Raw genomic sequence first — 24,951 nt, forward strand, 5'->3', positions numbered from 1 at the left:
TCCCGAGTAGCTGGGACTACAGCTGCACGCCACCACACCCAGCTAATTTTTGTATTTTTAGTAGAGACGGGGTTTCACCATGTTGGCCAGGATGGTCTCGATCTCTTGACATCATGATCTGCCTGCCTCGGCCTCCCAAAGTGCTGGGATTACAGGCGTGCACCACTGCGCCCAACCTTTATTATATAGTAAATTTGGGTGAGAATTATGAAGATTGTTGAAGGTTCACTTAGATATTTTCATAGTAATCTCTGGCTTTCTTTTCCCTATTCAAGTTTAAATGAAGCGTATGGCATGATTGGGAAACTGATTGTGTCTATATTTTTGAATATCCCCACTAAGACTTTTGGCATTGTGAGTGCAATTTCTGTTTTATTTTTGTATTCCTAGCATCTAAAATATATCCAGGCACAAAGTTCAGTAAATACTTATTGAATGAATGTATAATTGAATGTCACCAGTGATATTCATAATAGAGTTTCCCATGAGTTCTAAAATAGGTTGTTGGCGATGCTTTCAAACTTGCTGCTTATTTTATTTTGGTGACTTTGACTTTTTACTTGTGGTGTTCTGGGTTTAAATGCAAAATGAAAGATCTCAATCATTATAGTGGAGGCAAACTGTAAAGTGCTATATTTTTTCTTTCTGTTATTATATCCAATCTAATAAAAAGTTGATTATATGGTATCGAAAACTAATTCATTTTGCTTCCAGTTTCTTTGAAGTTTGCAGCCTCCTAAGATTCCCCTAAATCAACAATGTAATGGAGGACTTTATTCCCCTAAATCAACAATGTGATGGAGGACTGAGAAAACCTAATACCTTTTCTCTGAGACCTCTGAGAAATGAGTTTTTTGCAATGTTTTGAAATTTGTCTTCTAGTCAGTTTTACCTGCAGTGTTGTACAAAAACAAGCAAATTAGTTGTGTGTGTGTGTGTGTGTTTTTTTTTTTTTTTTTGAGATGGAGTCTCGCTCTGTTGTCCAGGCTGGAGTGCAGTGGTGCGATCTCGGCTCACTGCAACCTCTGCCTTTTGGGTTCAAGCGATTCTCCTGCCTCAGCCTCCCAAGTAGCTGGGACTACAGGCGCACACTGCCACGCCTGGCTAATTTTTTGTATTTTAGTAGAGACAGGGTTTCACCGTGTTGCCCAGGCTGGTCTCTAACTCCTGAGCTCAGGCAATCCACCCGCCTCAGCCTCCCAAAGTGCTTGGATTACAGGTGTGAGCCACTGCACTTGGCCACAAATTAGTTGTTTCCAATATTACTAGGTGGACTGTAGGATTAAATGATATTATTTTAAAGTTGTAATAATTAAAACGCATCTTAAGTGTACCAACCTGGATTACTATATGACAAGGATTATCATTAAATTTTTCTATTAGTAGTCTGTCATCGCCAAAACTAGAAGCAGCTTTTGAGATGAAAAACCATCCTTTAAAAAAAAAAAAAAGGAAGAACGGTCAGACTAACAAAACAAATAGAGCAATAGGGCTGACATCATTAAAGAAAACACAAAACAAGCAAATCAGATAGTTGTTTTTTATATTACTAGATGGACCATTTGCAACTTAAAGGACTGGAAGAATTTGGTTTCAGTATTGTACATTAAATACAGACATTTAGTCTTCAGATTAAGAAACTTTATTAAATATAAAAGGAATTAAAGCACAAAAATAAGCAAATTGGATAGTTATTTCTAATATTAGTAGATGGACCATTTGCCTCTTAAAGGATCGGAAGAATTGGCTTTAATGTTGTACATTAAATACAGGTATTTAATCTTCAGATTAAGAAACTTTATTAAATGTAAAGGAATTAAATTTTATATGCTGATTATATCAATGGATAGAAGGCAATATATGCTCAATTACTTTTAGGCAAGCAAGTTTGGGTTTTTTTTTTAATTGTTTTTTCTTTTCTTTTTTTTTTGAGATGGAGTCTCACTGTCACCCAGGCTGTAGTGCAGTGACATAATTTCTGCCCACCGTAGCCTCTGCTTCCCAGGTTCAAGCGGTTCTCCTGCTTCAGTCTCCTGAGTAGCTGGGACTACAGGCATGGGCCACCACAACCAGCTAATTTTTGTATTTTTAGTACTGATGGGATTTCATCATGTTGGCCAGGCTGGTCTCGAACTTCTGACCTCAGGGAAGCCACTGTGCCCACCCAAGTTTGCGTTTTGAAAAGATTGGTCAAATGAGCCCTAAATATTTGAATAATAGGCATATTTTAATAGTAATGATTTAAATTAGTTTGTAAACAAAATATATAAAGCAATAATTAGGTCCATATTTTTATTTTAAAAAACTATACTTTTATAATTACTATTTTTGATCAATTTTATAGAAGATAAAATTGTAATGATCTGTGTGGGTGTATGTGGGAGGCAACTGCATTTCAAGATGTGGATTTAAAATATTAAGCAGTGTTCTTAAGAATCTTCCTGTTGGATGTTCAATCTCAATGAGTGTATTTGCTGTAGTTCCACTCCAGTCATGCAGGTGACTAGACCCTTTACATTTTTCTTTGCATCTTCTGACTTCTGAATCAAACAGATGTTTTTTTATATTTTTGCTAGTGGAATTAAGGTATATTATGGTTGAAGAAATGGAATTAATTTTACTTGCTCTGTATGGTTTATTAAAATATCATATTTAGGCTGGGCACTGTGGCTCACACCTGTAATCCCAGCACTTTGGGAGGCTGAGGCAGGTGGATCACCTTAGGTCAGGAGTTCAAGACCATCCTGGCCAACGTGTTGAAACCCTGTCTCTACCAAAAATATAAAAATTAGCCGGGCGTGGTGGCACACACCTGTATTCCCAGCTACTCGGGAGGCTGAGGTGGAAGATTCACTTGAAACCCGGCAGGCAGAGGTTGCAGTGAGCTGAGATCCTGCCACTGCACTCCAGCCTGGGCGACAGAGTGAGACTCTGTCTCAAAAAAAAAAAAAGTGATACTTAGCAGTTGGTAAAGTATCGGCATTCCTGTTTCAATGGAAAATCTAGGATCTGAGAAGTTAAATAACTCATCCATGGTCACAGAGTTAGTGAGTGGAAAAGTCACAGGTCAACCAAAATTAACTTAGTTATTTGTATATTGAGTAAAGGTTTTTGCTTTTTTCAGAATAAGCCAAAATAAATATTTAATCGATTGTGTTTTCTTTTATAATGATAGCTCTATTTGTTTTGTTAGTCTGACTCTTCTTCTCCTTCTTCCCCTTCCCCTTCCCCTCCCTCTCCCCCCCTCCTCCTTCTTCCTTCTTTTTTTCACAGGGATGGTTTTAGATTGTCATCTCAAGAAGCTGCTTCTAGTTTTGGCGATGATAGACTACTAATAGAAAAATTTATTGATAATCCTCGTCATATAGAAATCCAGGTTGGTACATTTAAGATGCTTTTTCATTATTATTTTAAAATAATATCATTTAATCCTATTGGAATTATCTTTTCTTCCATTTAGAATGATTGTGAGTTGTGCCTTTAGAATCTGTTGTACTTTCCGTTAAAGTGCTAGGATGTTGGTTGGGATTGGGAATGATACAAAAATCTACCTCCAAAAAATGCATTCCTAAGATAGCCGACCAGGCTAATCTCCTTCCAAGACTGGACCATTATAGGGCATTTTTTAAAAAAGAAAAGTGCCTGACCTGGACTCCTGTGCTACTTCAGTTTACCAAATGTCCGTGTAGCTTGCTGTGACAGGTGTTCTGCTAGGAGCTTGTTGTATAGAGATCTGTAAATCATTTCTTCTATTCAGTTTAAGATATTCATCCTTAAAGTGGTTACGTAGGGGCATAGATTTTGGCAAAACAAAATGGGTTTTCTAAAATAAAACGGGGAAGAAGACAAGTCTGTTGAAGTTTTCATTTGCCTGTTGAAAATGCCTTCATGCTAATTTTATACATTATGACTATGAATTGATATGTAATAGCTAAAATTGATAAAAACAAATGTCAAATTAGAAATAATGAATTTTAAGTATTTTTTTAAATCTTAATTTGGTGTGGAGAGGGAACCAGATAAATAAAAGGTTATTTGCTGACCTTATATTTTCTGACAGGGGCATGATACAAAAAGTCCTAGATTCTGTCAGTTTATTCCTTAAGTTTAATGGTCACTTTCATAGATATTATTTATGGGTGGAAAATCATCATTTCAATCCTCAAATTTTCTAAAGTGAGAAAAAATATCCAAACTTATATAATCAGTTGGATGTTTTACAACATTGAACACAGTTTCTTTCTGAGGCTAGCAGGCTTTGTTTTTTGCCTTTTTAAAAAGATTTTCTAAATTGATATATCACATATAATATCTGTATATCATATATACGGTATCTGTATATCATATATACAGTATCTGTATATCATATATATGGTATCTGTATATCGTATATATATATATGGTATCTGTATATCGTATATATATGGTATCTGTATGTCATAGATACAGTATCTGTATGTCATAGATACGGTATCTGTATGTCATATATACGGTATCTGTATGTCATATATACGGTATCTGTATGTCATATATACGGTATCTGTATATCGTATATATACGGTATCTGTATATCGTATATATACGGTATCTGTATATCGTATATATACGGTATCTGTATATCGTATATATACGGTATCTGTATATCGTATATATACGGTATCTGTATATCGTATATATATGGTATCTGTATATCGTATATATATGGTATCTGTATATCGTATATATGTGATATCTGTATATCATATATGTGATATCTGTATCTCATATATATGTGATATCTGTATATCATATATATGTGATATCTGTATCTCATATATATGTATATATATATACAGTGAAATCCATAAATCTTAAGTGTGCAATTGAAGACAATTTCTATACACACACATCTAATTGTGTAACAACCATCCAGGTCTAGATAGAGAATGTCCCATCACACCACTTCCTAGTCAGTCCCTACCTGTGGCCGCCAAAAGTAACTGCTGTTCCTATCTGATGTCAGAGATTAGTTCTTAAATTGCATAAATGAAATCCAGTGATATAGTCTGTCACGTCTTCTTTTTCACACATCATCATATCTTTGAGATTCTTCCCTGAGGCTCTGTTGTCCTTTGCTTCTAAGAATTGCTCTGTGATCTCCCATTATTTGACTCACCTGCAGTTTATCCATATTGTTGTTGATGGATCTTTGGGTTTTTAGTTTCTTTATATTAGAAATAAATTGCTGTGTCTTTTTATGAACATATATACATCTCTAGGATAGACTGAGGAGAGGTATTGTTGGATTACATAGTAAGGTTATTTTTAGTTTTAGTGGGTACTCTGGTTGTGCTAATGTATACTCCCACCAGAAATACATGAGAGTTTCCATTGATGCCACCCCTGCCAACGTGTGATATTTTCAATTTTTGAAAACATTTAACCATATTAGTGGACTTACGATGGTATGTCTGTTTAATTTGCATTTCCTGGATGAGTAATGATGTTAAGCATCTGTTTATAAGTTTATTGACCATTTGAATGGCTTATTTTGTGAAGTGACTTCTCAAACTTTCATCCTTGCCTTCCTTTTTCAAATTAGATTTTTAAAAATTACTGGAGTGTCCGAGTTCTGTATCAATTTTGTTTATGAGTCCTTTGTCAGATGTATGTATAGTGTATCCTTCTCCCTTCATGCGGCTTGCCTGTTCACTTTGATAATAATGTCTTTCAAAGAACAGAAGTTCTGAATTATAGTGAAGTCAAGTTTAAGTCTACTTTGTGTACCCTAGTTAGGAGTTTTTTTGTTTTAGGTATGATATTTAAGTCTGTTACTCTCCTTTACTTATTATTATTTTGTTTGTTTGATGTGAGGCAGGGTCAGAGTAATTTTTAAAATTCTGATATCCACTTTTTCCAGCATCATTTATTGCAGTGACCTTTTGTTGCATATTAAGTGAGACTTCGTCATTGTCTTAACTATTTTGCTTTTATAATAAATCTAGAAACCTGATTCTGTAAGTGATCTAAATGTATTGTTTTTCTGCAGATAGTTTTCATTCTCTTTAGGTTCTTTGAATTTCCGTGAAAAGTTTAGACTTCACCTGTCAACCTGTTCCCCCTACGGACACCTACGCCTACACCCACCCACTCCCACCTCTACCTCCACTCCCACACACCCCATCTGATGGGAGATTTGTATTTGGGTCGTATTGAATCTAGAGATTATTCTGGGGAGAATTGACATCTTAACAATGTTGAATTTTCTTTCTTCCCTCTCTCCCTCCCTCCTTCGCTCCCTCCCTCCTTCTTTCTGACAGAATTTTACTCTCTCTCCCAGGCTAGAATTCTGGATATTTTGTGAAGGTAGACCAGATTTTCTAATAGATGGATGTTATGTACAAGAAAAAAAAATAAGGTGATTTTAGGGTTTTGGCCTAAGAAATGAGAAGAATGGAGTGGGCTTTTACTGAGATAGGAAAGACTGTGAGATGTGCTTGTTTTTGAGGGAGGAAATCAGGTTATAAAGTTGGATAAATCAAGGTTGAAATGCCCATTAGATATCTAAGTGTAGATGTTGAGTAGACAGTTGGCTATTTAAATCTGTAATTTAAGGGAGATATTTAGATTGTCCTTCTTGTAAGATCGTAGGGGCAGAATTAATTTTGTCCTTCACTGTATTCCCCATCTAGCACTTGTTCACACTACTGGAAGACCACTTAGGTAGGCTGTTTTATCTTTAACTAGTTGAATTTCGTAACAGGCCATGAGGTCCTTAAGGGTAGAGAGTAGGTCTTACTCATTTGCTGTCCCCAGCAACCAGACCATTGTCTTTGACATTACTAATACTCAATAAATGTTTGTTATTTTGTGTTAAATAATTACATACCTAGATCAGCTTTTTAGTTTATTTTATTTAGCCATGGCATACAGCCTGGGTGATATTTTTAAACATAAGTGAAAATGCCTCCCAGTTAATAGGCCACACAGATGTTCTCATATCTCATCTATACTTAGAAGGGTTTTTAATTTACTTTTCTTTAGTTTTCACTTATTTATATTAAGTAATTTATGCACATGATAAAGGGTAATTAATAAAAAGTAAGCATCCCTTTTACTCTATTCTAAGTCCTCTAGTTTCTGTCCCTAAATGCAGGCACCGTTACTGTTTCTTGGCTATTCCTCCATACATAGTCTAAGAAGTATATGTGTGTATGTCACCTATTATTTTTCACATGAGCCATTATATACTATGTCCTTTCCACAATGAAACTGCACTGGTAGTGTGAATGGCACCTCTCTTTGTGGCATAAACCAGTATTTCTCAACCAGGGCACTACTGGCATTTCCTGGGTTGGGTCTAGGGATACCAACAGGCTTGCATTATGTGACATTGTCTATTATAATAAAGCTTTTTCAGGAAGCAGTATAGCTTAGAGATTTTTCTACATTCAGTACGTGTAAACCTATAAAATTTTTAAAAAACTCATGATGCATTTAAGGATTAACTTCCCTTAAAAGCAGTATTTATTTATAATGTTTTCTGATTACATGGCTTCCTCATTTATTTAATGGAATAAATAATCAGCAAATCATTTTTGTTGAATGCCTAGTAAGTGCACAGAATTTTTAAAAAATGAACTGGGAGACTATACAGAATTTAGAGAAGAACAAACTCTTGATTCTGTATATGAATCTGATATTTTATAGTTGGAAATATTTCTGAGAATTCTTGGTTATTTTGGCTTTATTTCTTGGAGACTGTCTACTTTTACTTTCTTGTCAACTAGAATTTAAAAAGAGGTTGAGAGTTATTTTAATGATTTCAAATATTTTTAGATTTACTTCATGCAGCCACCTTTGAGTCTTAGAAAATTCCAGCTTATTGGCATTTTATTGCTGTTATGTTTTCCTTCATTGCTTGGAATCATTCTTGAGTTTCAGAAAGGGTTTGTTCCTAAAAATTAACTTTACAGTCATATATTAACTATTTATTTTACATTTTACCAATTATAGCCATGATCTTTATTTGATTTTTTTCAGAAGCCATATCAAATATTAAGATTGATATTATCTGCTATTTATAATGCACAAAGAAACAGAATGACTTGTTCAGAGAAGTTGCATAGCTGTTTGGAACTAAAATTAGTGCCTGGTCTTTGGGCTTCTAAAACAGATCTTACCTCTGTAAACCTAATATATGTATTCAGAAATATAAATCAACACCTTAAATCTGAAAATAGATTGGTCCGTTTCTGAAAATCAGATGTTCTAGGCAAAAACTTTAATGAAGAGCTGCTTTTGAGTTTCCAGATTTAGCTGAAAAAGATACATGTTAAATTTGAATTTCAGATTAACAATGATTTTTTAAAATCACTGTTCCATGTAGTACTTGGGACATAGCTAGAAAAAAATTATTCATTGTTTATCTGAAATTTAAATGTAGCTGGATATCTTGTATTTTATCTGGCAATCTCAGCTTATTTTCCATTACAGGTTGAATGTATCTCTTAACTGAAATGCTTGGGACCAGAAGTGTTTCAGATTTCAGATTTTTTTGGGTTTTGGAATATTTGCATTTATACCTGCTGGTTGGGTATCCCTAATCTGAAAATTCGAAATGCTCCAGTGACTGTTTCCTTTGAGCGTGATGTCAAAAAATTTCAGCTTTTGGAGCATTTTGGATTTCAGATTTTCTGGTTAGAGATGTTCAATGGGAAAAACTATTATGTTTGTATATTAACTCCAGACCTTTAGCAGTTTCCTAGAACAAAAATAAACCACAGTACAGACATCCATAGATAGATAACAGATTACATATTGGGTGGAAATGCATACAATGTCATTTCCCAATCAACAGACATTTAATAATGTTAACATCAAGCAGATGTTTGTAATAAAGCTGCGGTGGCACTCCTCAGCAACATTGACATCCAGTGTTTATCCCCTTCACTAACACTCAGTGTCCTTCACAAAATTTGTACAACTGATTCTGATGTTTTACTCGTTGTATTTGAAAGGTGATATGAACACTTTTTCCTCAAATCTTTTTGATAAAAATGTTTTATTGAGCTTTGGAGTAATAAATATAGTTTTCCTTTGTTAACATGAATCAAAATAATGTTTTGAGAGGTATGTATATACTATGAAGTTTGAATATTAAAAACCAAGAGATGTTGCATGCGGAAAATATTAACCATCATCTACTTTGTGGGTGTGGTTATATGGTTTTTCAAATGGTATTGCTCTTTCAGGTTCTAGGTGATAAACATGGGAATGCTTTATGGCTTAATGAAAGAGAGTGCTCAATTCAGAGAAGAAATCAGAAGGTGGTGGAGGAAGCACCAAGGTAAGTCTCCTAAGAAACATTTATAAAGCGGCTGCTTTTATGCATTTCATTCATTCATTCATTCATTCATCATTCACTGACGCATGCATTCAGAGACAGGGTCTCACTCTGTTGCCCAGGCAGTGGTGCAATCACGGCTCACTGCAGCCTCCACCTCCCAGGCTCAAGTGATCCTCCCAACTCAGCCTCCCACGTAGCCGGGACTACAGGTGTGTGCCACCATGCCCAGCTAATTTTTGTGTTTTGTAGAGATGGGGTTTTGTCATGTTGCTCAGGCTGGCCTTGAACTCCTGGCATCAAAAGATTAGCCCACCTCAGCCTCCCGAAGTGCTGGGATTATAGGTGTGGGCCACTGCTCCCAGCCACATTTCTTTTTTTATTTGTTTGCTTTATCAGCTACAATTGCACTAATGTTCATGTAGACTCTGTTACTGCATATTTTTATAATTAAGAATTTGTTACTTGATTTCCTCAGTGCTTTAATGTGTAAAAGGGAGAGAATACTTGAAAAAGAAGTGGGTTTTTATTAGAGGAGAAAGTTGGGTAGACAGCCAACTGTGACTTCTGCAGGCTTCTAGGAAGTATGGAACCTGATGGTACTTCACGGGATTTCTGAGATATATGCCTTCTAGACTTTCATGTTGGTGAAGGGTTCATAAAGTTGGTCCTGAATTTATCCTACCATGAAAGGCTTCTGGAGTGTGGTTCTTGGAAATTCCTTGAATTATCAGAGCCACTTTGGGTACTTCTCCAGGGCATCTTTCATGAGTTTGGTGTATGGGGCCTCATTTCTCATTTGATGCTAGGTTGCTATTTGTATATACTCTGGTATTCTCTTTGTTCTTAAAAATCCTCAGGTGAGTGTTCCTAGTAATTTTTAATTACCAGACGGTAAGAAGTATAGCTTATTGTAGCTTTAATCAGCAGAGCTAGCATATCTTGATATAATGCCTATATAGTTTCTGAAAATAGTAAGTGAGAATGTGAGTATATTTTTAATCCCGGAGTAATGGTAAAAATTCAACTCTATTTTAGTTACATTGGTTTTTAAAAATATGGCATGGTGTTATTAGTTTTAAAACATGGACCCCAAATCCTTTGCCATTTTTCTCTTTGAGCAGTGAGGGGAAGGATCATTGTTCCCTTTTCTTGATTCTGTGCTCTGTGAAGGCTTGACCCGTAGACTACTTAGAAGTGATGCTGTGCCAGTTTCCAGCCCAGGCCTTGGGAAACTGCCAGCTTCCGCTTCCTGTTCTCATGGGATGCTTGTGCTTACACACCAGCCAGTATGCTGTGAAGAACTGTGTAGCTTACATAAGATGTGGCCATCTAGTTCTCAAGGCCCAGGAACAGGATGTAAGAAGGGAGGAAGAAGAAAAGCCAAAGGGAATCCTCTTCCTGTGTCTTTAGGAAGATCCTGGAAGGTGCTGAAGCTAATTACTTGGTGTTGATCTGAAGTTAGACACTTAGCTAGGGAGACTTGTTAGTATCTTTTTCTTAAGAAACCATGTGCTGAGCTAGAACTAGTACTGTAGTACTGTAGTATGGAGGAAGGGGAAAAAGGATACCTGTGGAACAGTAAGAGTCTTCAACACACATGTCTTGCAATTTTCTGTTTCCTTGACTGATTATCAATTCCAATTCAATTAACACTCTGTTTTTAGTAAAAACCTACTCAAGTGTTACCTGGGATAGAAATCTTTCCCAGACTGGGAACCTTGAATCATAAAATGTGTTTGTTTTTTCTCTTTGTCTAGAAATACAAACTTTTCATAATGAATACCTTATCTACTTATTTAGAGAAAAAAAGGAAAATATACAGCAGTAGGAATCAAAATGAAAAAGCTAGAACTCATCATTAATACTGACCTGATATGTATTTGTACACTGTGAAATGTTAAAATAAATGGAATGTGTAGTTTTCAGTTCCTGGAGTAAGAATCGGCTGGGCATGGTGGCTCACACCTGTAATCTTAGCACTTTGGGAGGCTGAGGTGGGAGGATTGCTTGAGCCTAAGAGTTTGAGACCAGCCTGGACAACGTAGTGGGACCTCATCTTCACAAAAAAGTAAAAAATCAGCTGACTGTGGTGGCATATGCCTATAGTTCCAGCTACTTGGGAGGCTGAAGTGGGAGGATTGCTTAACCCCAGAGGTCGAGGTTGCAGTGAGCCGACATCATGCCACCAGATTCCAGCCTGGGTGACAGAGCAAGACCCTGTTCTCCCCCACCCCCCGAAAAATAAAAATAAAAAAAAGAATCTACTAATGTGCTTTGAGGGCAATGCTAGCTAGGGTCACTCATATCTCTGGATATCTAGCAGGGCTTTTGAAAAGGGCAAGGGCAAGATCAAATAGGAGAAAGATAGTTTCACAGAGCTGCACTGAGATTCTCCAGATGTTATGCTATTAATTGTTAGTTGGGGTTTTTTTTAGTTGCATTAATTTTGTCAGCCAGTTATTGTTGAAATGTCATCTATGTCTATACATTAGGTTAATGCAAACTATATTATAGATAATTCATAACACTTGAACCCATTGATTTATTGTAACTTCACCAAAAGGGAGACAGTAGGAAGTACACTTCCCACCTGTGAACTCTTCCCCCTCCCCCACCCCAATCCAACTTGAATATATTCAAGGCTCTGAGTCTAACTAGCAATCTATATGAAATAGAAATGTAATATGAATGTTAAAAGACACCGTGGGGTTGCATGCAGTTGAACCAAGAATGTGAGAAATAAGACAGTAAAATGACCAGATCCTTGGCCAGAAAATGGGGAAGGGGCATTACAGATTAAAAGAGTCTTAAGATACAAAAGCCAATCAAATGCAGTTTTGGACCTTATTTGGATCCTGATTCAAAGAAATCAGCTGTATAAAGATATTTATGAGATAGAGAAATTTGAATACCAAGTGGATATTAAATGCTTTTAAGGAGTTCTTGTTTTTTGTGTAGTTGTGTTACAAAAGGGTACTTTATCTCATAGAAACAGACATGTATGTTTTTAAAAGTGAAATGATACCTAATTTGGGATTTACTTTAAAAACAATAAAGGGTGGGCCTGGTAGAGAAGTGGGCAAGTAGCATAGATAAAGCCAGAGTGGCTATGTATTAATAATTGCTATATATTGGAGGCAGCTTCATGCAAGTTTTTTATACTATTCCATAATAAAGCTTTTATAGCATGTCATCTCAATCCTGCTCATTTGAGAATAATTTTAATCCACAAGTAGAAAAGTAGTTAATGTTTTGTTTCTCAGAGCCTTTCTTTCATAGAAGCAAAATCTGTGAAAATGCAAAGTGGTTTGATGATATTTTTTTCAGGGTTTGTTGAAGTCATTTTAGCTTAACTTGCCTGCTTGAAGGTGGGTTTGGTATCTTGAAGCCAAACGTGCAGGATTTAGTGGATGTATTGCTGATTCTTGTTATTTGTGGCAGTTATGTTCTCTAAAGTCACCTTGATTACTGAATTAGTGAACACTGAATAATTTCCCCTAGGGGAAATACAGGGTTAGGTTCCTGCGAGCCTTTGCTTATAACATTTTCCTCAGTGGATTAATACATAATTTTGTTTTTTGTGTATTTCTCATTTAATATCTGTGGTTGATTCATTAACAGTGAACTCACAATCCTGGCCAACAAGACTATAACACGTGCCTGAGTAAAGCTTATCCCACACACATTTTCTCCAGACAGTACTTCATGGCCTTCTTGCACATGGGAACCCCAGACAGCACCTAAGGACAATGCTTGATGGGCCATTTCACACCATGAAATGACACACACACACACACAAATGCAAAAAAAGTGACACTAAACAGACCTTGAAAAGGATGCTTGTTATAGTATGAGCATTGAAACGAGAAGGGAGAGCATCACCTTGTTCAGCCTTAGCATACTGGAGTCTCAAATTTTTCACCTCTCTGCACTTGTTCACAAAGGACCATGAAAGCGCCTTAAGTATTGATTTTGGGGTTACAAATAAATTTCAGCAAGTAGGCAGATTTGTAAATATGGACTACATGAGCAATGAGGATTGATTGTGTATGTTAGATACTAATAAGTTATTTTTCTCCCAGTTTTTGGCTCGAAGCAATTCTGAATATATATGTTAAATATTAGAAGTTGAAGAGTAGTTATATATTTTGTGAATGGATTGAAGTTGCAGAGTAATGTGAAAAGTTCAAATGTTTTATACAAATCTAAAGTTGACTTATTTGAGCATGTTATGCTTAATAATATAGTCAACATATATTATAAAACATATATAAAGCACAATATTTTGAATTCTTAAATTGGTATAGATGATCTATATCTGAGTAAACTTTAAGAAAATGTTTATGTAATGCACACAAAAGATAACTTGATTTTTGTCCGAAATGTAGACAAACATTTTTTTGTATATGTAGCATTTTTTTGGATGCGGAGACTCGAAGAGCGATGGGAGAACAAGCTGTAGCTCTTGCCAGAGCAGTAAAATATTCCTCTGCTGGGACCGTGGAGTTCCTTGTGGACTCTAAGAAGAATTTTTATTTCTTGGAAATGAATACAAGACTCCAGGTAACAACAACTGTTATTTATTCCTCTCCATGCCTCTGTACTTTACCCTTCCTTCTCCACCCTTTTTTGTTTTATAAATGTTAAAAAATTAACTCCATAAAGTGTTAAATAAAGATTTAGTTTTTATGCTTGTGCTAAGACATCTGTTAGGAATGACGGATAGTATCCCTCTAAAGTTCAATGTCTAGACCTCTGCTTTGTCACTGTTAATACTTTATGTTGGAAATACCACTTTGTTTTTTTCTTGAACCTTTCTAGATGAACTGTATTTGTCAGTGTGTATGTGCTGTTAAGAAAAATTACTCTAGATATTACAAATAGGAAGTGATACAGTGATTGCAAAATCTTTGGAAGGATGGAGGAAGGAAGGGTACCCAGAGTGAACTTCGGTGGTGACTCCCACTGCTGTACCACTCAGCCAGGCTCCCAGAGGAACCGGCACCTCTGCCACAGTGAGGACGTTGAGAATCAAGTGGCTGCCCTTGGAACTGTTGGCTTTGGGGGACATAACTTCCTTAGTTCTAACCAAATCTCAGGAAGCGACTGGCGTTGTAACCGGTGGCTTTATTTCCTTCCTTCTTCCCTTTTTTCTTTCATTTAAATTGTGAACTATACAGAAACATACATAGAACACAGGTGAATAATTGAATGTATTATTATAAAGCAAAAATCAATGTAAACATCAACTGGGCCTAGAAGTATTTACAAAACAGCCAGCTCTTTTTACACTAGCCTCATTTTCTTCTCCTTCTCAATGATTCTGATTCCCCCTCCATCTTCCCTAGAGCTGTCTCCTATCTGACTGACTTCTCAGAACCTTCAGTTTTCATATCATTCTTCCTTTGAATTACGCATACCTAAGCAGCATTATTACTTTTGTTTGTTTTTTAAAACTATATTAATGGGATCGTATAGTATTCGTTCTTTTGTGCCTGGCTTCTTTTTTCAGCATGGCATTTGTGAGATTTGTGCTATTTCATGGAACTCCTGTATGATACATTTTCTAAGAAAATGCCACTATTTCTTTATCTGTTAGATTTCTGTAGATAGTTTATTTCCAGTTTTATGGAATTTGTGTTAGTTTGCTAGGACTACCATAACAAATGATCATTAACTATAGCTTAACACAACAGAAATTTGTTCTCGTACACTTCAGGAGGCCAGAGTCTATCATGCAGGTTCCAGCCGAGTGGGTTCCTTCCTGGGGGGTTGGAGGGAGAATCCACTCCATGCCTCTCTCCTGGTTCTGGTGTTGCCGACAGTCCTTGGTGTTCCTTGGCTTTGGCAGCATAACTCTAATCCCTGCCTCAGTTGTCATATTGCCTTCTCTCTGTGCATCTCTGTGCCCAGGGTTCCCGTTTTCTGTAGGGACACTAGTCACATTGGATTCAGGACCCTTCCCATTTAGTACGGCCTCATCATACGTGATTTCCTCTGCCAAGATCCTGTTTTCAAGTAAGGTCACAGTCACAGGTTGTGAGTGGATGTGAATTTTGACACGACACTCTTCAGTCCAATTCACCATTCAAAAAACACATATGGCCTACAGAGATAAATAGATTAGTACTTGCCTAGGACTGGGGTGGGTGAGTGGGGGGATTATGGGCTGATGGCTAAGGGGTGGAATAGGACAGGAGAGACTGAGGAAGGCATACTTATGCCTGAAAACAGTGTCAACTCTTCTTCCGTTAGGCCCTTGGGGGAGGGGGTGGGGGGGGAGGGGGTGTTGAGTCACTGCAGGCATGAGCTGGGTCGAGCTTAAGCCTTCCTGCAGTGGTTTTCTCACGTGCACCAAGGGGCCGCTTGTGGGATTTCTGCATGCCTGCTTCATCCTGAGCTTGAGGGCTTGCCTCTGACCCTGTGCTTCATGGGAGCCGTGTCTTCATGCCTGTGCCTCTTTCCCAGAGGGAGACTCCTGTGGGCCCTGGTTAGCCCTACCATGGGTGCAGGAGGGCTGTTTTCTGTTCGCTGTGCCGTGGCGGTAGACCGTCCTTGTGTCCTTGAACTTTGAGGTGAGTTCAGTAGTGGCCCTGCTGCTCCCCAGCCGTGGGGAAGCTGATGTTCTGGGCTCCAGGTGGATTTCTGCCTCTTTCCTGATGGTTATCTTTTGCGTGCTATGGCTTTCTTCATGCTTTTACTCTCGACCTACCTGTTTGAAGACAGTTCACGTGTGCCTCTGTAAGCAGTGTATAATTTTTCAGCCCAGTTTGATATGTTTGTCTTGTATCTTGACCATTTGCTCCTTAGAAAGTTGACAGAAATGCTGGTATTTTTGAGTTTAAATTTCTAATTTTTAAAAATGTTTTCTTCTTGTCCAATCTCTGGCCTTTTTCCTTTTTTTTTCTTTCTTTTGCAGTATTTATCATTTAATTTTTTCCTGTACAAGTTTGGGGGTTATAAATACTGCTGATCTTTTGGTAGAACCTCTACATTACAACACACATCCTTAATTTATCAAAAACTGATAACAGTGTCTTTTCACCTGAGCTGCCAGACTGACAAGGGAGCTTAGAACATTTAAAGTCCGTTTACTGTCTCCTGACTTGGGTACAATTATCCCCCGAGGCCATTTCTCTTATTATTTTAGTCATCATTCATTCCATTCCTCCCACATATTTACCTTTCTTTGTCTTTGTTTCTGGTAGTTTCTTTTAGAGGTTTACTTGGGACAATCTCTTTTTGTTGACAGCCAATGACTTTATGTTGCCTTGTTCATGAAATGCGTTTTTACTCTTCTTAGACGTCTTGGCTGTGGGCCGTGGCTCACCCCTGTAATCCCAGTGCTTTGGGAGGCTGAGGTGGGAGGATCCCTTGAGCCCAGGAGTTCAAGATCAGTCTGGGTAACATAGTGAGAACTTGTCTGTACCAAAAAAAAAAAAAAAAAAAAAAAAAAAAAAATTAGAAATCTTAGTTTGGCCAGTATTTTTTTCAATTTATTGAAAATATTATTTCACTGTTTCTGGTGAGACTTCCCCACTCATTCTGCATTCTGCTTATTTGGACATAATTGATTTTTCCTTTTGGTAGCATTTATTAATTTCTGTTTTTGTTAGATTTCCTTTAACTTTTTGCTGATTCGTGTACATGTATACATGGAATTCATTGAATATTTTGTCTGTAGATTAATGTCTTTTAATTTTTTTTGGAAATTCTCCACCATTATTACTTCTGGAACAATCTCACATACACAGATGAATAAACCTATAACTTTCATTTTAGACCTCCTTAATATATCTCTTATGTTTCTTATGCTCTCTTTGATATTTTTCATCTTTTTTGGATAATTTCTTCTGTCTTTCTTACCTTCCCTTATGCTGTATTTAATTAATTAATCACCCATTGAGTTCCTGATTTCAATTGTTTATATTTCAGTTCTGAAATTTCTATTTGGTTCTTTTAAAAGTATGATTCATTGGTTTTTATCTTTTCTTGTCTCCTATTTGAATTTTCAATTTTGACTTTTATTTTTTGAACATAATTAACTTATTTGTTTTGTAGTACATGTCTGATAATGTTGACATGTGAAGTCTTATGACTACTTGTATTAACTGCTTTTTATGCTGTTTCTTGGTTCTGCTGTTGAGTTCCTGTTGGGCCTTGTTATTATACTGTCATATACAGTTATTTTAAAAATTGTTATTAATCAAAACCTAAGATGATGGATTCTTTCTTATAGAGATTTTTCAAATTTTTTTCTGCCACATGCCTATGGACAGTAGTATTTGTGACTACGGCAATCTAAGCTCAAAGTGTAAGGCTCCTTGAACTCCTGAGGGGATACACAGCCCGGTTGCAGTTCTAGAGAATGGTTGGTTTTATTCCAGTTCAGTCTTATCTTGAGGTTGCATTCCTTTATGGTGCCCACTAAAAGTGGGGGTAGTTTATCAAGGTTCTTTGATAAACTGATACTTTGGTGGCCTCTTATCTTCGTGGTTATGCTTTTGATTTGTTGATGCCACCAAAAGTATAGCTTATATTCATAGTCCTTTTTTCCTGGAATGGCAAATGACGTTAGGGCAAAAATGGTGTTGAGTGTTGGGTTTGCAAATCTGTGTTTTCATCTTGGTTTTGGCTGATCCCTTCCTATATTCTTACCCTGTGATGTTTTTAAGAAGACCTCCCCCATCTCCCATTCCCCACCAGTTGTTTTCTAGTCCCCAATAAGCCCAAGTTCCAAGCTGAGTGGCTTTAGAGGTACATTATGCCTATAGATTAAATAAGTTTGTGTCCTGACTCTCAACACCCCCCAAAAGCAGTGAGCGGGCAGTGGAATGACAGTCTGTGCCTCACTGCTATCTCACTTTTCCTTTCCAAATCTCATGCATTTGCACATCCAGAACCTCATGCAGTCACATGGAAACCTCAGCTGTAAGGGAGTCTGGGAATAGGCTTTTTAACCATCTGTATTCTGCAGTGTAAGAGTATACCCTAGAAGGAGTTTGGAGGGAAAGTTCAGTGCCAGCCCACCATTTTCACATGAATATAATCACCAAAATTTTAATCTGTAAGTTATATGTAAAAAGTTAAAAACATTGCTGTATTTTCATTGTAAAGTATAACTGTCAAATAATGTGGCTGATTTTCCTTAAGTATGGCAAAAGTGATCTATCTAGATGCATTTTGAGACTAGTATTGTAAATACTTGTAGCATTTTATAGGTAGTAGCTCAGTAGTTGTTGCTTAAAACTCATACTTCCTTTGAAATCACCTTTGTAGCCTATATTTTATTTTGTGACTATCTTTAGAAGTGACAGAATTTTGCCTTTTGAAGGTTAATTTGATTTTGATTAAAATGTATCTTTATAACTAAGTATGTCTAATTAGATTATTAGCTGGGAAATCATGTTTTTGGTTAAAGTGAAGACTTTATTTTGTCATAATGAGAAAAATAGCTTGTAATTTGATTCTGAAGACAATTTGAGACGACTGCAAAATATTTGTATTCTATTCTAGACCAAAGAGATCTGAGATTTTTTAATTGAGGTACTTATCAGTATTTATGGAATTGACAAATGGGCAGTTTGTTATTCTGTTCTTGTGTTATCTTTTTTTCCATTTGTTTCTGGCTCATTTATCTCAGGTTATAAGTTTGTTCAAGTTTGTACCATGGTTGTTTCTGGTATAAAACCCGATAGTTGATTTTTTTTTTTTTTTTAAACAGAGTCTCACTCTGTCACCAGGCTGGGGTGCAGTGGCGTGATCTCGGCCTGCAAACCTCCGCCTCCCGGGTTCAGGCAATTCTCCTGCCTTAGCCTCCAGAGTAGTTGGGACTATAGGTGCGTGCCACTACGCCCAGCTAATTTTTGTATTTTTAGTAGAGACAGGGTTTCACCACGTTGACCAGGATGGTCTCAGTTTCTTGACCTTGTGATCCACCTGCCTGGGCCTACCAAAGTGCTGGTATTACAGGCGTGAGCCTCCGTGCCCATCCTGTAGTTGATATTTTTATCGAATAATTCTATGCAGTTGGTCAAGACTATCTAAGTACCTATGTTTTGTGTATTGGATAGCTTGCTAGGAAATTATGTTCTATACCCTCAAAAAATTATAAAAATATTTCAAGAAAAAAAATCAAATTCACAAAGATTTTGTCATATTACCAGATCTAATATGACAAAAATTGTGAATCATTAACTCATAATGATATGAATCAGTGCTATAGAATGTCATGTCCATGTTCGGCCTGAAATTGCCCCACTTCTCACCGGTGGTCTGGGCCCCACACTGTGAGAAAATATTTCACTAATACCTGCGCTTAGCAAACGTCCCAAGGTCTCTGACTGATTAGAGCTCTTGTTCACGAACAGAGCTCTGATAGTACCTAATGCTGTTAAGCGTGCTATTTTAATAGCATTCTATGATATTTAACATCATACTTTGAGACATTTGTCTCCCATGTAGTGTTTAATCATATTTTTCTCTCTTGTGGTTTACTTCCAGTGACTGTGATCCTGTCAGTTACCAGAATAAGTTAATTTTAATTTTTTAGAATGTATCTGTGTGATAGGGGGTATTTGATGTGGAGGATATAATTAAATGGGAGCATGAACAAAGAATTTTGGACTTCATATGTGTTCAGAAAACTATTCTTACATATTCCAAAGATTTCTTTCTGATATTGTTTAAACAATCCAATTTGTTTTTTTTTGAGACGGAGTCTTGCTCTGTCACCAGGCTGGAGTGTAGTGGCACGATCTTGGCTCACTGCAGCCTCCACCTCCCAGATTCAAACAATTCTCCTGCCTCAGCCTCCGGAGTAGCTGGGACTACAGGCGCATACCACCACGCCTAGCTAATTTTTGTTTTTTTAGTAGAGATGGGGTTTTACCATGTTGGCCAGGATGGTCTCGATCTCTTGACCTCATGATCCACCTGCATCGACCTCCCAAAGTGCTGGGATTACAGGCATGAGCCACCGCGCCTGGCCCAAGTGTTCTTTTAATAGTAGACATTCTCTTTCAAATTTCTTTACTAACCTTAAATTATAATACTTAAGGCACATTCACCAAATTCTTTATCTCCCAAGATATATGTTATCTCTAATTAGTGTTTCAGTTTGAACTAGAGGGCTATAATTTTCTTTGTTCTTTTTTTATTTTCTTTGAAATTTCCTGATTGAACTTTCACTTTTTCCAGCTTCAGAACTGTGTTTTGTTTTTGTTTTTGTTTTTTTTTTTTTTGGTAACAGAAATGCATCTTCACTTTCTACATTTTCTTAAGAGTGAAATTTGAAATAACAATACAGTTTCTCCATAAAGAGATGCAACACTAAGAAAGTCACCGCGTTTGGTGCATTAATAGTTGGTTCCGTTGACTGGTTTTGTTCTCAATCTGGTCACAGTTTATGTAACTGAATTACCTTTGCTATCTTCACATATTTTTGCTTTATTTTTTTTAAGTCACTGGTTTTCTGTTGCTTAAAGATAAAATTTAAATGCTTTTGCATCACAACACAAGCTTTTTTTTTTGTAGCCCTGATTTTTCCCCCAGAGTCCTGTTTCTTGCCAGTGCCGATCTCTGTGTATGAATTGCAAGAGACTCCTTTCTTTTTCCTGAAGGTGCCTTTCAGTTTGACTTCTTTGTGCCTTGTATCATGCCACTCCCATTGCTTGGAATGTTCTCTGTTCACCTCTCACAGTGAACACTGAGCTATGTATCTACCTGCACACCCACACCACACACACCTGTCTCCCCTCTCTGACCATACTTCTCCCTCATCTCACCTCTCTCCACATTTGAAAGATGGACAGCTAGATGGAGAACTACTCTACGGACACTAGGATTTTGTTAAAATGCTATTTTATTGAAGTGTATTCTAGTAGTCCCCCTTATCCATAGTTTTCCTTTCCAAAGTTTCAGCTACACACAGGGTCTACTTCATTTCAAATATATTAAATGGAAAACTTTAGAAATAAACAATTCATAAGTGTTAGATTGTGCACTATCCTGAGTAGTGTGATGAAATCTCACACCATCCTGCTCCATCCTGCCTGGTACGTGGATCCTCTCTTTGTCTGGCATCTCCATGCTGTAGACACTCCCTCTCCATGAGTCACTTAGAAGCTACCTCACTGCAATGAGACATGATGGTGCCACTGCACTCCAGCCTGGACAGAGCGAGACCCTGTCTCTGAAAAACAAACAAACAAACAACAACAACAAGAAAAAACAGAAGGAAAAAAAAATCCGCCTCGGTGATCACATCGACTGTATGATACCTCAGTGCTTATGTTCAAGTCACCTCTACTTTATTTCATAATGGCCCCAGCATACAAGAGTAGTGTTGCTGGCAATTCACATATGCCAGAGAGAAGCCATAAAGTGCTTCCTTTAAGTGAAAAGGTGAAAGTTCTAGACTTAATAAGGAAAGAAAAGAGTCATGTGCTGAGGTTGCTAAGCTCTGCGGTAAGGATGAATCTTCCGTCGGTGGCATTGTGAAGAAGGAAAAGAAATTTGTGCTACTTTTGCTGTCAAAAGTCAAACTTCAAAAGTTATGGCCACAGTGCATGATAAGTGCTTAAGATGGAAAAGACATTAAATGTGTGTGTATAAGACATGAATAGAAAAGTGTTCTAATTGACAGCAATCATGTTCTATACTATCCACAGTTTCAGGCATTTGCTGGGGACCTAGGAACATGTCCCCCAAGGATAAGGGGGGACTACTATATATGCAATTTGCTGGGATAATTTTAGTTTCTTATTTTGTTGAATGGTAATACTCAGAATTTATAATACTTTGTTTAAAAAAATCTAGTGGTTCATAAGAGTCTACAATGGAAAAGTTACTCTCCATACCACACTTTTATCACAGCCATTTATTTTTCCTCTGTTGAAGCAACCTTTGTTTTTTTTAACATACTAATTTGGGAGTATTCCATGCCTAATTTAAAGCATTATCTTTTTCATTTTAATGACTTCTAATAACCTGTCATAGGGATGTAACAGTCATATAATTTCACCAGATCTCTATCGATAATTTTTCCAGTATTTTGCTATCCCAAATAATGCAATTATGAGTGACCCTTTATATCCACTTTGCACGTGCAGAAGTAGAATTGCTGGGAATATATGTGCTTTTATAAATTAGTTAAGTATTATCAGTTTACCTCTTAAATGAGAGCTTGTTTCTTCTCTCCCTGGCCAAAAGTGTTTTTTGCCTTTTGATCTTTGTGTGATAGTGAAAAATGGTATATTGTTTTCATTGTTTATCATGAATTTTTCTTTATAGATTCATTTATATTTCTGTGAATTGACTATTAGATCCTTTGCCCTTTGGGTTTTCTTATTGATGTGTAGGTATTTGCTTATTGTTGGGGGAAATTAGCCCTTTGTGATATTGTCAGAAAGGAGGGGCTTTGTGAATATTTTCATAGGGCTACAGGGCAGGTGCTTTCTGAGCAAAGACCCTGGCAGTTGTGAGAGGTGACAGCGTGCTGGCAGTCCTCAGAGCCCTCGCTCGCTCTCGGCGCCTCCTCTGCCTGGGCTCCAACTTTGGCGGCACTTGAGGAGCCTTCAGCCCACCGCTGCACTGTGGGAGCCCCTTTCTGGGCTGGCCAAGGCCAGAGCCGGCTCTCTCAGCTTGCAGGGAGGTGTGGAGGGAGAGGCGCAAGCTGGAACTGGGGCTGCGCTCGGCACTTGCGGGCCAGCTGGAGTTCCAGGTGGGCGTGGGCTTGGCGGGCCCCACACTCAGAGCAGCCGGGCAATGAGGGGCTTAGCACCCGGGCCAGCGGCTGTGGAGGTTGTACTGGGTCCCCCAGCAGTGCCAGCCCACCGTGCTGCACTATGGCTTGGCCCCAATATTTTCTCTCTGATGGGGAAAAATGGCCACCTGAGGGAAGTACAAATTACAATACTATCCTGCAGCTTGACCTTTTCTGTAAGAGGGAAGGCAAATGGAGTGGAATACCTTATGTCCAAGCTTTCTTTTCATTGAGGGAGAATACACAGCTATGCAAAGCTTGCAATTTACATCCCACAGGAGGACCTCTCAGCTCACCCCCATATCCTAGCCTCCCTATAGCTCCCCTTCCTATGAATGATAATCCTCCTCTAATCTCCCCCCGCCCAGAAGGAAATAAGCAAAGAAATCTCCAAAGGACCACAAAACCCTCCTGGCTATTGGTTATGTCCCCTTCAAGCTGTAGGGGGAGGGGAATTTGGCCCAACCCGGGTACATGTCCCCTTCTCCCTCTCTGATTTAAAGCAGATCAAGGCAGACCTGGGGAAGTTTTCAGATGATCCTGATAGGTACATAGATGTCCTACAAGGTCTAGGGCAAACCTTCGACCTCGCTTGGAGAGACGTCATGCTACTGTGAGATCAAACCTTGGCCTTTAATGTAAAGAATGCGGCTTTAGCTGCAGCCCAAGAGTTTGGAGATACCTGGTATCTTAGTCAAGTAAATGATAGAATGACAGCCGAAGAAAGGGACAAATTCCCTACCGGTCAGCAACCCATCCCCAGTATGGATCCCCACTGGGACCTTGACTCAGATCATGGGGACTGGAGTCATAAACATCTGTTGACCTGTATTCTAGAAGGACTAAGGAGAATTAGAAAAAAACCCATGAATTATTCAATGATGTCCGCCATAACTCAGGGAAAGGAAGAAAATCCTTCTGCCTTCCTCGAGCGGCTACGGGAGGCCTTAAGAAAATATACTCCCCTGTCACCCGAATCACTTGAGGGTCAATTGATTCTAAAAGATAAGTTTATTACCCAGTCAGCCACAGATATCAGGAGAAAGCTCGAAAAGCAATCCAGGGCCCTGAACAAAATCTAGAGGCATTATTAAACCTGGCAACCTCGGTGTTCTATAATAGGGACCAAGAGGAACAGGCCCAAAAGGAAAAGCGAGATCAGAGAAAGGCCGCAGCCTTAGTCATGGCCCTCAGACAAACAAACCTTGGTGGTTCAGAGAGGACAGAAAATGGAGCAGGCCAATCACCTGGTAGGGCTTGTTATCAGTGTGGTTTACTAGGACACTTTTAAAAAGATTGTCCAATGAGAAACAGGCTGCCGCCTCGTCCATGTCCACTATGCCGAGGCAATCACTGGAAGGTGCACTGCCCCAGAGGACGAAGATTCCCTGGGTCAGAAGCCCCCAACCAGATGATCCAACAACAGGACTGAGGGTGCCCGGGGCAAGCGCCAGCTCATGTCATCACCCTCACTGAGCCCCCGGTATGTTTAACTATTGAGGGCCAGGAAATTGACTTCCTCCTGGACACTGGCACGGCCTTCTCAGTGTTAATCTCCTGTCCTGGATGACTGTCCTCAAGGTCCCTTACCATCCGAGGAATCCTGGGACAGCCTGTAACCAGGTATTTCTCCCACCTCCTCAGTTGTAATTGGAAGACTTTGCTCTTTTCACATGCCTTTCTTGTTGTGCCTGAAAGTCCCACACCTTTATTAGGGAGGGATATATTAGCCAAGGCTGGAGCTATTATCTACATGAATATGAGAAACAAGTTACCCATTTGTTGTCCCCTACTTGAGGAGGGAATCAACCCTGAAGTCTGGGCATTGGAAGGACAATTTGGAAGGGCAAAAAATGCC

General features: G+C 38.1%; 1 protein-coding gene across 36 annotated transcripts in view; it reads left to right on the forward strand.

The window, feature by feature from the left end:
- The window catches only part of PCCA (propionyl-CoA carboxylase subunit alpha), a 441,343-nt gene that overhangs the window by 170,363 nt on the left and 246,029 nt on the right, over positions 1–24,951 (forward strand). For all 36 annotated transcript variants that reach the window (NR_148030.2, NR_148027.2, NR_148028.2 and 33 more), the window contains 3 exons: positions 3,274–3,376; positions 9,234–9,328; positions 13,741–13,891. Coding sequence is in view for 30 of the 36 variants with exons in the window: in XM_017020609.2 (XP_016876098.1) it covers positions 3,274–3,376; positions 9,234–9,328; positions 13,741–13,891 (349 nt within the window). In the remaining 6 variants the exon portion in view is untranslated. The remainder of the gene's footprint in view (positions 1–3,273; positions 3,377–9,233; positions 9,329–13,740; positions 13,892–24,951) is intronic.

Source organism: Homo sapiens, chromosome 13 (genome assembly GCF_000001405.40).
Source record: "Homo sapiens chromosome 13, GRCh38.p14 Primary Assembly".
NCBI lineage: Eukaryota > Metazoa > Chordata > Mammalia > Primates > Hominidae > Homo > Homo sapiens.